Genomic DNA, 15849 nt, shown 5'->3' with positions numbered 1-15849 from the left:
ACCCTCAATCTTCAGTTTGTCCTTCGGCCTGAGTTACCCTTTGTATCCAAATTCTTCTCTTCATCACGGTGTATGTTTCTGAGGATGAAACTGAGCTCATCAATTTGACATTCTCTTGCTTGTTATTACAGTGGTTGAAGATTTTGCTGTTTCTCGGACTAAGGAGATGAATTATTTTGTATAGCCTTAGGCCATAAACTGTGCATATAATCATAGTAAAATTTTGGACCTTACTCGGGTGTTAGGTGTAAGGTAGAGAGAACTTCTACATCTAGATGTCAAAGAAAGGTAGTTCTAATTCCATCTATTAATTTGATAATATACTGGTACCTATTGACAGCCAAAAGTAGGATAATGCTTGACTCTAGAGGGGATGGGAGTGGAACTTTTTATCAGAATGAGGCATGTTGTGGCTTCTGGGGTGCTGACGATATTCTATTTCTTGACTGGGGTGGTTTGTTTTTGCTAAAATATACATTTATGCTCCATTCAGTTTTATGTATGTGTATTACATTTCACAATTTAAAAGGATTTTTAAAAAAGAGGAAAGAAGAAAGGGAGGAAGTAGGGAAGGAAGAAAAAGTCAAAGGAAATGGTTGGATTTTGACAGGCAAGTGTGAGAAAAGATAGTAGTAATGGAGTTAAACGTGTTTGAAAGACAGTAATTATAATGATGAACAGATGAGGTGAGATAGCAGCACATGGCAAAAATGAGAAAAATAATCTCAACCTGAAGTATATAATAATACTTGATTATTTGCCTTAGCCTGGGCTCCTTGGAAAGCAGTGCCTGCAGTACTGTTAACATGTTAACACTTAATTGTCAAGTGCAATCCTAGGCTCAGGAGCCAGGGGACAAAGGATGGTGGCAGGCAAGGAGGGATAGAAAATACAACCAGCATGCTACTGATGCTGGCCGGAGCTTTGTGACATGTGCAGATGACTACCTGGCTTTACAAAACATTTGTGCAGAGGTTATGGCATGAATTACCGTACCTCAACTCAGTCTCAGATCAGAGAGAGAAAAAAAATTTGCCAGCATTCTTAGTTTGATAGTCAAAGTTTTTCCTGTGGGTGTCATCTGCGCCTCTGGATAGTGCTCTGAGGCCCCTCCAGAGCTGGCTTGGGAATCCAGATTCAAAACAGCTGGGCTAGAGTGTGAGATTTTGATATCTTTCTACAATGTGTGATGGTCAAATCAGCATATTCATCACCTCGAACATTTATCGTTTCTTTGTAAATCATTATGTATCAATTAAAAAATAATAATAACCCAGCAGAGGCAGCATTTTCTGCATGAGCAATAACCCAAGAGAATCAGCCCCTGAAATTAACACCAGCCAGGGCATTATTTGTTGGCCCAGAGCCTGCAGACTTCTGGGCCTGGCCATATGAGTGTGTGTGTGTGTGTGTGTGTGTGTGTGTGTAAGAGAGAGAGAGAATCCTGAGGGGATCCTCCAGTGTCTCATGCCTCAGAGGCAACAGGGAAGCTGACTGCGGTAGGCAAGAGGAGATGTGTTCTCAGGTTGTGTCTGCAAGCAATAGGTAGGACCTGGGGCAGCCACCCCTGCAGCCAAGCCAGCCAAGCAGGCGGAGTCCCACAGAAGATAGCCCCACAACAAATGCAGCAATGAATCTTCTTTAACTGAAAAGAAAAACTTCCTCTTAGGAGCTTTCAACAATGCAATCAATGCAAGATGATCTTAACAGAGTCAGTGGTAACACTGAACAAAAGTCTTGGCCGAGCAAATCCAAGCAGACACTGAACAGTCCAGTTTATTATCTGTGGTAAAAATTTAATCTTTTTTTTTTGGTCAATGATCCAGGGCCTTTTTTGAGTAATTCAATATGTATTCTGAAAATGCAAATTTAATAATAATAGCAACTTAATGCAATTCACCCTTCCCTCAACTGCCTCCAAAATGAAAAAAAAAAGTGTGTCAAGTTTATAAAAGTTGTGTTCACTTTGGTCAGTACTTGACATTTTTTTTGCCTTAGCATCTGTATTAGTCCATTTTTATGCTGCTGATAAAGACATACCTGAAACTGGGAAGAAAAATAGTTTTAATGGACTCACAGTTCCACTTGGCTGGGGAGGCCTCACAATAATGGCAGAAGGTGAAAGGCACGTCTTACATGGTGGTGGCAAGAGAGAATGAGGAAGAAGCAAAAGTGGAAACCCCTTATAAACCATCAGGTCTCTTGAGATTTATTTACTATCACGAGAACAGTATGGGGGAAACTGCCGCCGTGATTCAATTATCTCCCGCCTGGTCCCTCCCACAACACATGGGAATTATGGGAGTACAATTCAAGATGAAATTTGCGTGGGGACACAGAGTCAAGCCATATCAGCATCAATAATTGAGATCAACCTGAATATCTCTGCAACTATTAAAGCAACTGAATCAGTAATTAAAAACTGTCCAACTATGAAATCTTCAGGCCCATAAGACTTTACCTGAGATGTCAGTTGAACATTTTAAGGAGGAAACAATTCCAATCTTATACAAACCAGAGAACAGAAAAAGAGCATTTGCTCTCCAACGCACGTTATGTGGATAGCCTGACCTTGATGCCAGAAGCAGGCAAACTGCACGTATCCTTAAGTTAGAATTTCAGGTGGTAAAACTATAAAGAAGAGTAAGGAAATGATTATTCTACCAGTCAAGACAATACTTAACTCTAGGGGGGTGGGAACAGACCTTGCTCAAAAAGGGCATGTGTTGACCTGTGTGCTGATGATGATAATGACTTTTGGCAGGTTCCTCTTCCTTCACCTCACTTGTACATGTAAGAATTTCTCTTCTCTCTCTACATGTCCTCTCAGTGGTCTCCTGTCTTCTTAAATATACATGCCCAGCCCAAATCTCTTTTCCAACCTCTATCCTCATATATGCGAGAGTCTCAATGACAGTCTTGCAGTCTTAAACTTGACATGCTCAGAAAGGAACTCTTGATTTCCTCCCTAAACTTGCTCCTGTCTTCTCCATCAGGTAATGGCACATCATTTAGTCAGTTGTCCAGGTAACCACAGGGAGAAGCATTCTTGATCTCTCCTTCTCCATCACCTCTCTCTTCCAACCAATCCCTAATTCCTCTCAGCTGCACTTCAAATATCTCTTGATTACATCCACTTCTTCCCATGTCTTCTCCCCAACCTGGATTATGGAGTCTCCTATCTTCTGTTCTTGCCATTTACCAAGTATCTAGAGTTTGCTAAGCTTTGTACTATTGATGCTCTATACAGCGAAAAGATATACTTCTAAGCAAGTAAGCTGGATCGTGTTCACAGTTTAAATTTCTTCTTCAGCTTCTGAGGAGGATGGGAAAACGATATTTGGAACAGTTCCAAATTCTATGATGTGCTGTCTGGCGCTGCTCAGTCTTGCTCCTGCTGTGTTTTTCAGCTTCATCTCATGCCTCTCATGTCGCCCCTGCTGGAATGGTCTTTTTCTTCAGTTCCTTGAACGTGCTGAGGGCTCACCTAAATAAGGCCTTCTTGCCATTCGTTTGGCAGAAGCACTTCCTCCTGCCAGCCCCTACCCCAGTTCTACTACAGGCAGGCTCTTTCTCATTCTAAGATCTCTGCTTATACATCAGTTCCTCCGAGAGGGCTTTTGAGACCACTCTACTTAAAGCAGATGTCCCCTCTTACCATTTTCTATTATAGCATCCTTGTTTTTGTTTGTTTCATCTATTTATTTGTTGGTTTCCTTATTTTTTTGTCTATAATTTTCATACAGGTAGGGGCCACCTTTTTTTTTTTTTTTCTGCTTACTCTAGTGCCAAACAGTAGATGCTATTAAATGAAGCAGGGGGGTGGGGTGGGGGGGGCACACCTTTCCTGTAACATGATCTGTAACACATTCTTCTGAAGACCAGTAACTTCTGCATCTACATTAATTTAATAAATGAGAATTTTCTATTTTTTTTGTTTTGAAAAAGGAGAATTTTCAGATGTGGTTAATATAGTTTTCCAGTGCATACTTTTAACAACTTTAACTAGATGCTTTAGTGCCCTTAATACATATTAATTAACTTTGACCTAGACATTTTAAAATTCCCTTTTAAAAAGTATTTATTGCATTTAGAATGCTTCTTCTTATACAGTAAACCAGTGCTTAATAAAATATGTGCATTTGGGGATTTTTGCAAGTTTTCTTTTCCCTTTTGAACTAGAAAGAGCACTAACCTATTGGCCCCCTGTAGGTCTTTGGTCTATTTTCCATTCTTTGCATCTCTACCCTTTCCAAGATCGACCCAGCAACAGATGAGCTATGCTCAGTGCTTTGGAGGAGTCATCATGTGGGACAATTAAGACCAGGACTTGTTCAATCTCTCATCATGGCTGCTTTCCAACTATCTCGGGATCCATACCTGTGCCCTACTGAGATGTTGTCAAATATTTTTCTGGTCCATTTTCCTTTTCCCATTTTCTCCCTTGCTTTCGCCAACCCTCAGGTCAGTGCTACACAGCTCAGGCTGAGATATAAACTTGCTCTGAGCATTCTCAAACAAGAATGCAGCATCTTTGTGTAGCAGGAAAGAACTCAGTTTAACCTGGCATAAACCAGCTTCCCAAACTCATTTTTCCCTCAGCCCACCTCTCTTCTGACTTAACTATCTCTGGTAATGTTGCTTCTCATCTTAGTCACCAAAGTTTTTATTTTTCGCTTACACTTTATATCCCTACATGAAATCAAATCCAAGGAACTATCAATTCTATCTCTACCAAGTTTGTACTTCTGTCTCTTTTGCTTCTTTCTTGTTCTCTCTAGCCTACTTTATATTGCATTTAGTTATTTTTATTGCTTGGACTACTACAGTAATTCCCTAACTGGTATTCACTTTTTTTTCTCTCCTTTACTCAAAATTTTCTCTCCTTTTATCAAGTCACTCTACATATGCTGCTAAATTAATATTCTTGAACTTTGCTCTGATCAAATTACATTTCTGCCAAAAAAGTTCAATAGTTTTTTATTAGTTATGGGTTAAATCTGAGCTCCTTAGGCTGGCTCTGCACAACATGGTCTCATCTCACTTTCTAGTCTTACCTCCCTCTGTTCCATGTACACCTTATGACATGCTAAAATTGAACTTCCTGGAGTTTCTCAAACATGCCTTGTCTTTTCCCACTGCTCCTCTTTCTTTGTTCAGTATTTGTCTACTGGGTTGTCCTTCCCCTCTTACTCCATTATCTCAACTTATTGAACCTTATTCACTTGTTAAGGTACAGATTCAGTGTTGCTTGCTTCATGATGCTTTCTCTAATTCCCTCAACACAGTGTCATCTCCTCCCCTGTTCCTATTCTCATGGCAGGTTTATTTGTTTACTAGGGCTACCACAACAAGTTGCCACAAACTTTGTGACATAAAACAACAGAAATTTATTTTATTCTAGTTTTGGAAGCCAGAAATCCAAAATCATAGTTTTGGCAGGGCCATGTTCTCTGTCCCTGAGGACTCCAAGGGAGCCCCTGCCTCTTCTTTGCCTTTCCTTGCCTTTTCCTAGCTTCTGGTGATTGATGGTGATTTTGGTGTTCCTTGACTTTGTAAACTCATTACTCCGATCACCTGGCATTCTATCTGTGTGTCTTCATATCATCTTCCCTCCGTCCATGTGTGTATCTTTCCTCCCCTTTTATAAGGACAACAGTCATTGGACTAGGGTCCACTCCCATCCAGTATAACCTTATCTAAACTTGATTACATCTGCAAAGTCCTACTTCCAGATAAGTTCTCATCGACAGGTACCAGGTTAAGACTTCAACATATGTCTTCAGGGGGCACAATTCAACCCACAATGGTAGGCATATGTTAATTCTCATTCTCAATTTAGTGTTGACTCTGGAAGTGCAGTTCAGCTGCAGGCTTTTTTTTTTTTTTTTCTAATTTGTAGCATTTCCCAAGTTTATTAGCTTCCACAGAACATACCTTTTGAGCCCCTCTCTAATACACAAGGTTGCAGAGTTTGATGCACTCCAAGTCTTTGCATAGCCGAGCCAGCTGGCATTATGGCTAGTCTGCGGCATCCCTCAACCACCTTCCTCACCGAGGAGTCTCTAGCTCTGGGTACTTTGGTAGAACTCTCTCAGCTGAAATGCAAAAACCTCATTTCTGCCCTGCCAATCAATTAGCAGCCAGTTCCGCTCCTCCCATATTTTTATACCAACATACTGCATTTCTGTGTAATGTGTTCACTGCCCATTTTGTTCCAAAATCATTTCTTTGGACATGATGGCAGTATGCAGACCTCAAGGTAGCACTTGGGGATATTGAGTAGGGGAGCCAGGTGGTATGTGGCATATCGCAAATGACTCCTTCGATCTACAGTCCGTGAAACTGGCTCCTTCAGTATCCTTGCTTTTGGCATGACTCAGATTAATGTCTTGAAAGAAAAGCAAACTAGCTGCACAGTTTGGTGGAAATTAGATATTAGAAATAACTTATTGTTGTTTTTTGTTGGTTTATCAATCTTTGAGAACTATTTATATGGCTTTTCTTAGTTTTGGAAACTTGTTGGGATATACCAAGTAGTATGGCTATTGTTGAATAACTTAGCATTCCCTTCCTGCTATAAAAGTGCAGTCTTATCATTATATATTCTAGAAGAGTTATATAGAAATTGAGGTATAATTATATACAAGTACATGGAAACATTCCAGTAGAAAATGAAAACATATGCCTGACAAAAATAGCAGGAAACATGTCAGTGTGTTACAATACAAAATTGTTGCAAATAACTAAAAATGGGCTTTCACAAATATAAACAATGCACAAGTTCTGTTAAAATCAATGGCTTACATTTTTTTCTTTTCATGTTCAGTGACAGTTTAACATCAGTTGAAGCTAGCTTCCTGCTTATGACAAAAGGAGAAGTCATTTTATTTCTAACTATGTATTTTTAGTCTCCTCTTTTTGGTATGAATCATTAATATTAAAGTTGCTGTTGACAAAATAAAAGGCAGAGCTAGAAATGGAACATATTAAAGAAAATGCTATGTTGCACGCATGATGTGGAATACTCAAATAGATGAAATAAAGCTGCTCTTTTGCAAAAAGCTATTCTTCATGAAGCTTAGTGCCAGGAAAAGATCAATGTCCTCTATTTTTAGCTCTCTCCATTTTGTTCCTATAAGGGACAAAGATGCTACACAAGTCCTAATACAGTGAGAGAGTAAATCCAATGTAGTCATTTTAGTTTTCTTTTCACCTCTCCCAGGCAATTATATTAAAGTGCCCAAATAAAGACGACTGACTTTCATATGTTTGGAAGGGTAGATGATCTTTTTATGTCTGTCAGTTGGCTGTTCTGAATAATGGAGACCCCAGATGTGCCACTGGCCTTTTCAAAGAAGGACAGAGGAAGACAATAAAGGAGGCAGTGTGGCTATTCTGCTTCTTCCCAGTAGAAGAAATGTAGCACACTTGGTTTTGCAGGGATAATGAAATTCATTTTGGGTTCATTAGCAATTCTGTTTCTTTGGAAAAACTGGTGATGATGGAGTTAGTTAGGATTAAAGAAGTTCTTTTGAATTCCTAGTTTGAATTCAACATCCTGGGATTCTAGTCTAAGCAGTAGAGCCTGTGATCAATCATCTTTATTCTTCCTCTTCTGGGGCTTAAATATTACTCTTAGATTTTGTTAAAAGTTTCACATACTAATGTTATCAAGGGGACTTGAAAATGACTTTGGAGTTTTGGGATTTAATTTAACTGGGAAATAAGAGGATCTAAGACTTTTAAATCTTAGTGAAATGAAACTTTTTTTAAGAGTCATGACTACATTTAAAATCTTTTCCTCCTCTTGATTTTGTCAAAAATGAAGGCACCAAAATTAGGATTGTCAAAGTAGAAGAGACCATAGGTGATTCTCTTGTCAAACCTGATATTATAGATGAAGACAGAGAGGAAAAGTATTATAGATGAAGACAGAGAGGAAAAGTGCTTTCCAAAAGCCACTTTTTTTTAAATTTTTTTTTAATTTTTTAAATTTTTTTTAGTGGATGAGACAAGATAGCATATAGTTCCTTTGATTCCCAACCCAGTAAGGTCTATGACATGCCTCTTGGTTAGAAGCTTTCGATTAAAAAAAAATCTTTGTTTCCTAACACGTTTATGTAATGGATTAGTAGATGCTGCAGTATACTGTCCAGTACTTTAGGACTAAATGAGTACTTTAGGACTAAAGTACTTATTTCCCCAACTGCTGGGAATGTTGGCAGCTGACAGCACTTGGCTGAGTCCGTTTCTCTCCAACACAGGACAACATTGAAGCAGCATTTTATGGGATTAGCTGAGGCCTTTCTTGATATTGATACAATGTTCATTCATTTTGCTCCTGTGCTCAATCCTTCTTTCTTCATTCCCCTACAAGCATTGATCCTGAGAGCACATCTTAATAAACCTCCTGCACACAAGCCACCTTCTCAGAGTATTCTTCCTGGGGACTTGACCTGTGGTATCTTCTATGTTTGAATAGTTTCATGGTACATATGGGAAGAATCAATGTATATTTTCCCAAGTGGGACTTGAGCTGTGCCTAAATTAGCATCATCTTCTAAAATAATGTAAAGTTCATACTTGTTAATTTAATACATTAAAGAAAGATATCACCTTTAGACATTTTTTTGTAGCATGATATCTTGAAGTGTGACCTTCTCATCAAGAAATTATAAAAAAGGCTACTACTTAAAAGAGTAAACAGAAGAACAAAAGAGAGAAAAGGAGCTGATAATATTTTTTTTATCTCCACAAAATCTTGATTCCACACATATGTACCGGGCCAAGACAGAAGTGATTTGATGTGATCCATATTCACGTTTGCATAGCTGATGTTGTCTGGTGGGGTTAACTGGATAAATCACAATCCACCGTGACTATCTTTGATATTCAAGAGAAAACACTATGTGGAAACAATCCTAGAGAGGTGGAAAAGGGAAAGATATCAAAACAAAATTTCCTATCCATTCTCCTCCCTGCATAATTATGCAAATAAAATGATAATAACATAAATTTTATTTTTTACCAAATCTAAACTAGCAGCATGTATTGAAGAATTGAGGTAATTATTTGCATAATCAGTGCAATAGATTAATTTTATCTTTAAAAACACAAATTATCATGATTATCTGGATGCTTGTTTCAATTATCTTGATTACTCTATTGATAGAGATTAGGTCAAATAAATTTCTTTCTTTTATTCTGATTTGCCCACAATCAGACAAACAGAGTAATGGTATTCCATGACCATAGTTTACCATAGCACACTGGAAACAATTGTTAGTAAAATATCTAATGTGGATGGGGAACTGAGCTGGTGAATTCATAAATTCAACTTATTTAATTAGATGAATTTGAGCAACTTGCCTTTCTCTTTCTTTCTTTTTTTTTTTTTTTGAGATGGAGTCTCGCTCTGTCACCCAGGCTGGAGTGCCGTGGCATAATCTCGGCTCACTGCAATCTCCGCCACCCGGGTTCATGCCATTCTCCTGCCTCAGCCTCCCGAGTAGCTGGGACTACAGGCGCCCACCACCAGGACTGGCTAATTTTTTTTGTATTTTTAGTACAGATGGGGTTTCACCGTGTTAGCCAGGATGGTCTCGATCTCCTGACCTCGTGATCCAGCCGCCTCGGCCTCCCAAAGTGCTGGGATTACAGGCGTGAAGGCGTGAGCCACCGCTCCTGGCCGCCTTTCTCTTTCAAGTACTTAACATTTCATTTTCAAGGAGATCCTCTTCATTGGCGTATATGACTGCCCATGATTTTTGGAAAAAAAAAAATTCCTAAAAACAAACTTTCCCAAATTCTGTTTCTTTGGCCATTACTTCTCTGTTTTGAAGTTCGGTAAATGTTATCTGTAGTGGCTGACTCTATTATTGTCATTTCCAGGTATTAAAGTTTTTTTTTGCTATTATGAGTGGAAACTTTTTTCTCATTATCAATTGTAGCCGTTTATGTAGAAATGCTGTTAATATTTGCATATGTATTTTATCTGGCCATTAATACTTATTTGGCCATTATTGAACTCTTCCACTAATTTTATAAAATTTATAGTTGATTCTCTTGCATTTCTCCCTAGCTATATGATAATATCAGTTGCAAGTAATGATAATTTAGTTTCTTGCTTTTTAATAATTTTACTTCATTTCTATTTCATGCTTTATTTCACTGGCCAGTGTTTAGAACAGTGTTTGATAGTAAAGGAGAAAGCATACTTTCTTATTTTATTCATTATTATGATGGGACTGCTTCTAGCATTTCACACCATTAAGCATATTATTGATTTTTTTGGGTAGATATTATGTTGAGAAATTCTTATTCTTTTTTATTAATTCATCATATATTTCAAACATCTTATGGTATTATATACTATTCTCTTAGGTTTTTAAGTTTTTTTTTTCTGTATTGGTTGACTCTCTAGTCTCATAACTTGTTTTATATATTTTTTTTTCTTGAATGGATTTACCAGGGATAAATATATTTTATTATCCATATTGAACTACAAGATCTTATATTTGTGTATCAACACTGTTTTCAGTTTTCCAGTTTATTTCTCTCTCTTTTAATTTTCTATGTTTATTTTATTATTTCATTTTCTCTGTTTTTCTTATTTATTTCGAGTTCTATTTGTACACTTTATTTATTTATTTTTATCCTTCCTTTTTAATAATCAGGTCAAAACATTTAAGGTTACATTTGCTTCTTAGTATAAGTTTTGTCACATACCTTAGGTTTGATAGAACAGTGTTCTCATTGTCTTTGTTTTCTGAATAATCTGATATTGTGGTTTGGATTTCTTTTCACTACAATGTTTATCCAGAAGAAGTTACATTTTTTTCCTAAATGATTTTTGTTTAAACCTTTACTATTAATTTATAGCTTTATTGTTTTATGTTCAGAAAATTTAACTAGTTCAGTTTCTGCTTTTTAGAATTTGTTGAATTTGTCTTTTTGACTTAAAATATGATCATTTTTGTAATTGTTTCACTTTTTAAAGCAAATATATCCTCTAAAAAGGACTGAAAATTTGATGTTTATCTATGAAATCAGTCTTATTCATTGCATTTTAATACATATTTTTCTAACTTGTTCTGTTAGAGATTGGGAGAGTTGTATAATTCTCTCTCACCATTGTGTTTATTTTGAGTTCTAGTGCTTGTTAACAATTTATGTCTTTTATTTCTTTATTGCATTGGGCTGGTGCAAAAGTAATCATGGCGTTTACCATTAAAAGTAATAGCAAAACCTCAATTTCTCTTGCACCAACCTGACAGTTGTACCTTTAATAAAATCTTTCTTATTACATTTGATACTTTTTGCATTAAGTTTATATTATCTGAATTAATAATTATTTCTATTGTATTTCTTGCTAGTTTTCTTCTAAAGTCTTGCTCTGTCACCCAGGCTGGAGTGCAGTGGCACGATCTCCGCTCACTGTAACCTCTGCCTCCTGGATTTAAGTGATTCTCCTGCCTCAGACTCCCAAGTAGCTGGGATTACAGTCGTGTGCCACCATGCCTGGCTAATTTTTGTATTTTTATTAGAGACGGGGGGTTTCGCCATGTTGGCCAGGCTGGTCTCGAATTCCTGACCTCAAGTGATCTGCCCGCCTTGGCCTCCCAAAGTGCTGGGATTACAGGTGGGAGCCACTGCGCCCTGCCTCCCCTAAAGTTTTATTCAAATTTTACTTCCAGTCATCTTAAATTTGTTATATTTGAGTTTCTTTTAAATCAATTTATGTTATATTATTATTTTACTTTTTAACATTGATTTTTAAAAATAACATTTTGAGATATAATGGACATACCATACAATTCTTGAAAACATTATGCTAAATAAAGAATCCAGTCACAGAAGACCATCTAGTGTATAATTCCATTTATATGAAATGTCCAGAGTAGGCAAATCTATAGAGACAGAAAATAGATTAAATTATTTTTATAACATAAATGAAATATTTTTAATAGTGGATTTTATGTCTGCCTCTTAATCTGCATATAATTAATTTATGGTTTTGGAATAAAACATGATGGAATAAAAAACTTAAAAAAATACACATAGCATTTCAGAATAACATGTTTTTAAGTTGCTTGCCGATATGTATTGGTTCTTCTGGATAATTAGAAAACCTGATCACATGAATTGGGCGAAGAGATTTCCCAGACCTCATCCTCCTCTTTTCTAGTTGCCACAAAATATTTTGAGGATTCTGATATTATGTTCTGTGAGGTTTCTTGAGTGTTTTTTATTTATTTATAAATGTCTTAAAACTTTTAAGAGGTACCATAACTGGAAAACTCATCTGACATTGGAGAGAGCCCCACTGTAGAAAATACAAGGATGCTAACTGTGTTGGAAAAGGCAAACATGTCAGTAACCCTGGCCTGTGCTGCCAAGTTGAAAGGAAGGGATAAGTCTGTGGTATCACTGACATGGCTAGAATTTCTATAATGGAGAAGATGGAGAGTAAAACAGGAAGTGATTATGGCCAGTACCATTTTCATCTTTCCTGGACCTTGTCAATAGAGCTTTCACCTACAAACTCCACATTAAAATTTCAAAAAGCACATGCCTGCTTTTTCCAACCCATTGAAACATATCTCTTGCCTTTTATTTATTAATAGAAAATTGTGACTTCAGTAACCTTGACATTCTCACTACTTTGTATGAATCTGGATGAGCAATGAATTGAGAGTGCATGTTTTATTATTGCTGATTAACATCTGATCTCCTAATGCTGAGACTAAGCATCATAGTAGGTGACTATGGCAGAAACTGCTGGTAGATTGCTAGTTGCCCAGCCTAATTTCTTCTTTTTTCCACAAACAAAACCCTGTGTGTTCCTGTATGTGTGTGTGTATATATTGGGCAGCTGGCCAAATTCAAGCTAGCCTTCCTTATGGCTAGGTGAATACACATTCCTGAATTGAGACAATGACAGTAAGCATTAAGCTTTGAGTGATACTTTTGGAACGTCTTTAGAAGCTCCTTCATCTGAGGAGTGTGTCCTCTTTGCCTTTCTGTTCCTTTTCCTTCCTGCTGCCTGGGAGATGTAAATGAAATCTATTGTTCTAGCAGCCATCTTTGTCTGTGAGATGACCTTGAGCATGGAAACCGTATGTTCTGATAGTAGAACATAAAGATCAAAGATGCTTGGTTGCCTCTTCACCACAGGGAAGCCATTAAGTCTTGGATGGGATATCTTTGGACTTCCATTAGCTGAAATAGATAAACGGTTACTTTATTTAATCATAATTTTATTTTATTTTTGATTACATGTTTTAATTCTAGCAAATACAATAGGGCTCACCTATGGCTGCAAAGCACTGAGCACAGGCAAACAAAATTTTGTATTCTGGGTGAAGAGAAGTTTTAAAACATCCAAAGCATACAGAAAAAAGATTGGATAAATAACCAAAGGGGAATCTGAAGTGAATAGTCATGATAGAGAGTAAGTGAATCAGAGCCAACAGATCTGGAGTTAGAGACTGGAAGGATCTCCAAGAGGGCAAATAGAGAATGCCCTCCAAGAGGGCAAATGGGAATTTACATTTGTAAATTCCTGTAATTTGAGCTGGAGAAACAGAGGGAAGCATAATCTGATCCTTTCCATCCTTGAAGCAAAGCTTAGGAAAACATTAATATACCATAGTGTTCAAAATTTGGGTGTCATCCTCCAGTAAATGTCACTCTGACTGTTCAGATACTTGGAGTGTCCCACAGCTGTGTCAGGAATATACAACCTCTTATATTAGACCTGCCATTTTGCTAGGGACAGATGTCTAAGGCCCAAGGTCAAGGACAGGCTTCCAGTGGGTTGGATAGAATAGTAATTGGTTAAATATGGGATACATGTGCATGAAGGGAGACTGTTTGAAATGAGCCATGGGAATGGAATGTTTCATCGTTTTTCAAGGAGCCCAAGAAGTGTTCCTCCAGCTTTCAGCATGGCAGATAGTATAGGTATTCAGGTGAGAGTCAGGTAAGAGTCCTCCTCCCTGAATGTCTTCTAAAATTGAGAGTCCCTTGCACACCATAGAAAGAAATCAGTTATCTTGAGTGTCCAGAGTGGTGTGAGAGGTGGTGTACATAATTGATGCATAAACTGGCTAGTGTTGCTATAAGAAAGTGAACCATTTGAGTGAGTTTGTCTACTGGAGTTCCATGATCTCTTATTTGGAATCCTTGAACGTGCTCCAGAATTATAAGAGTTTTTTTTTTTTAATTTTAGAAAGGAAAATATTGCATGTTATGTGATAGCCACAGAAGAGTATGTGGCAATAAGCTGCAATCCAATTTGCTAATATTTATGCAGCAAAATGATGAATATTAACATTCAGAAGATTAAAAAAACTATAAATAGCCTCATGTCAGTTCTCTGATCTCAAAGTTCTCTATTCTCAAAGTTTCTTGGATTTTGATGTTGTGGATAAGGGGCCATGGACCATTATTATCAGCAGAGCATGATGTCGACGAAGGTCTGAGATGAAATCTATGTTTGGGAATAAAGGGTCTGTCTACTGGGAGCTTGTCATACCAGAAGCTGCATGAAAGAACTAATTTCCCTTTATAGATGTGAAGTTTATTAGACCATGTACTAGTTCTTTTAACCCCCTGTTTACATTCTTGTGCTTTTAATTGTTATCCACTTTTTTTCAGGCTGGACTGTGCCTTTAAGTAATTTTAGATCCCTAAATGTTACCTTTTATGAGACCTGACATTTCTGAGAATGTCTATTTTCTACACACATGAATGGCAACTTGACTGAGTAGTAGAAAATGGGTTTTCCTCTCTTAACATGCTGTAGCAACTTCTCTATTACCTAACAGTGCATATTTATTTATTTGTATATATTATGGTATATTTATTTGTAGTTAACTAGTGTCTTGGCCTAAATGCTTGTTGGATGTTTTCTTTAAGTTAAAAATTTGCCAGGATGTGTCTATTTATTAACTTTATTTGGAGCATGAAGAGATCTTTAGATATGTATACATTTCAACTAAATAGATTTTTCCTTGATTTATTGCACCTGTGCCAACTGTTTTGATTTCCTTTTCAAGTCTATCTGTAGTTCTTAGTTTGGAGTTTTATTCTTCCTCCTCTATATCTAGTGTGCCTGCATTGTTTCCAACTATTTATTCCTGTCCTTTGACTTGCGAAATAACTTTTCAACTTTGTATTTCAAATTATGAATGCATTTTTCTCCAGTGTAAATTCTACTCTGATGTACAGTAAATCCTTATTGCCTTGTTAGTTATCTTATATGTCCGTTTTCATTTTAGTTTTTTCATTTTTTTTTTCTTTAATGTCATTTGTTTTCCACTTCATCTCAGCATATTCTGACCTTGTGACTTTCAGGTCCTGCGTGTTATTGTCAAAAGTTTTCTAGAATGTTATTTTGGTTTCTGTAGCAAATTGTTTTCAGATGACTGTTCTTCCCTTCCATCTTTAAGATAACTTTTTTTCTGAAGTTAAAAAAATAGATGGCATGTTGTTGTTTTTCTTTTAGTTTCTACCACTGATCCTTGGATCTAGGTGTCAGTCAAAGCCTTTCCTCATATTTATAGCATGAAGGTAAGTTGATGTACATAGCTCAGTTCTCACTGTCTATCAGCTGCTTATCTAGGGCAGCTCTGTTGTACATAACTATGATTGCTTCATATCTCGGTGTGTATTTCTCTGACACTTCAAGGAAACAGGTTATGCAAAGACTGCAGCCTTTCCTTTGCACAGTTACCAGGACACTTCCTGCCTCATTCACTTGCAGAAGTTTTTTTTTTTTTTTTTTTAATGGAAATATAATTACTTTAGAGCAATGAGTCATTTTTTTATGTCTGGATGTTT

The 15849-nt window shown here is 37.0% G+C and overlaps 1 long non-coding RNA gene across 1 annotated transcript in view; it reads left to right on the top strand.

Annotated features, from left to right (window-relative positions):
* Positions 1-15849, top strand: part of LINC00639 (long intergenic non-protein coding RNA 639) — a 167544-nt gene that overhangs the window by 61284 nt on the left and 90411 nt on the right. The gene's annotated exons all lie outside the window — the stretch shown is intronic.

The sequence above is a fragment of the Homo sapiens genome, chromosome 14 (genome assembly GCF_000001405.40).
Source record: "Homo sapiens chromosome 14, GRCh38.p14 Primary Assembly".
NCBI lineage: Eukaryota > Metazoa > Chordata > Mammalia > Primates > Hominidae > Homo > Homo sapiens.
This window is presented reverse-complemented; position numbering and strand designations above follow the sequence as displayed.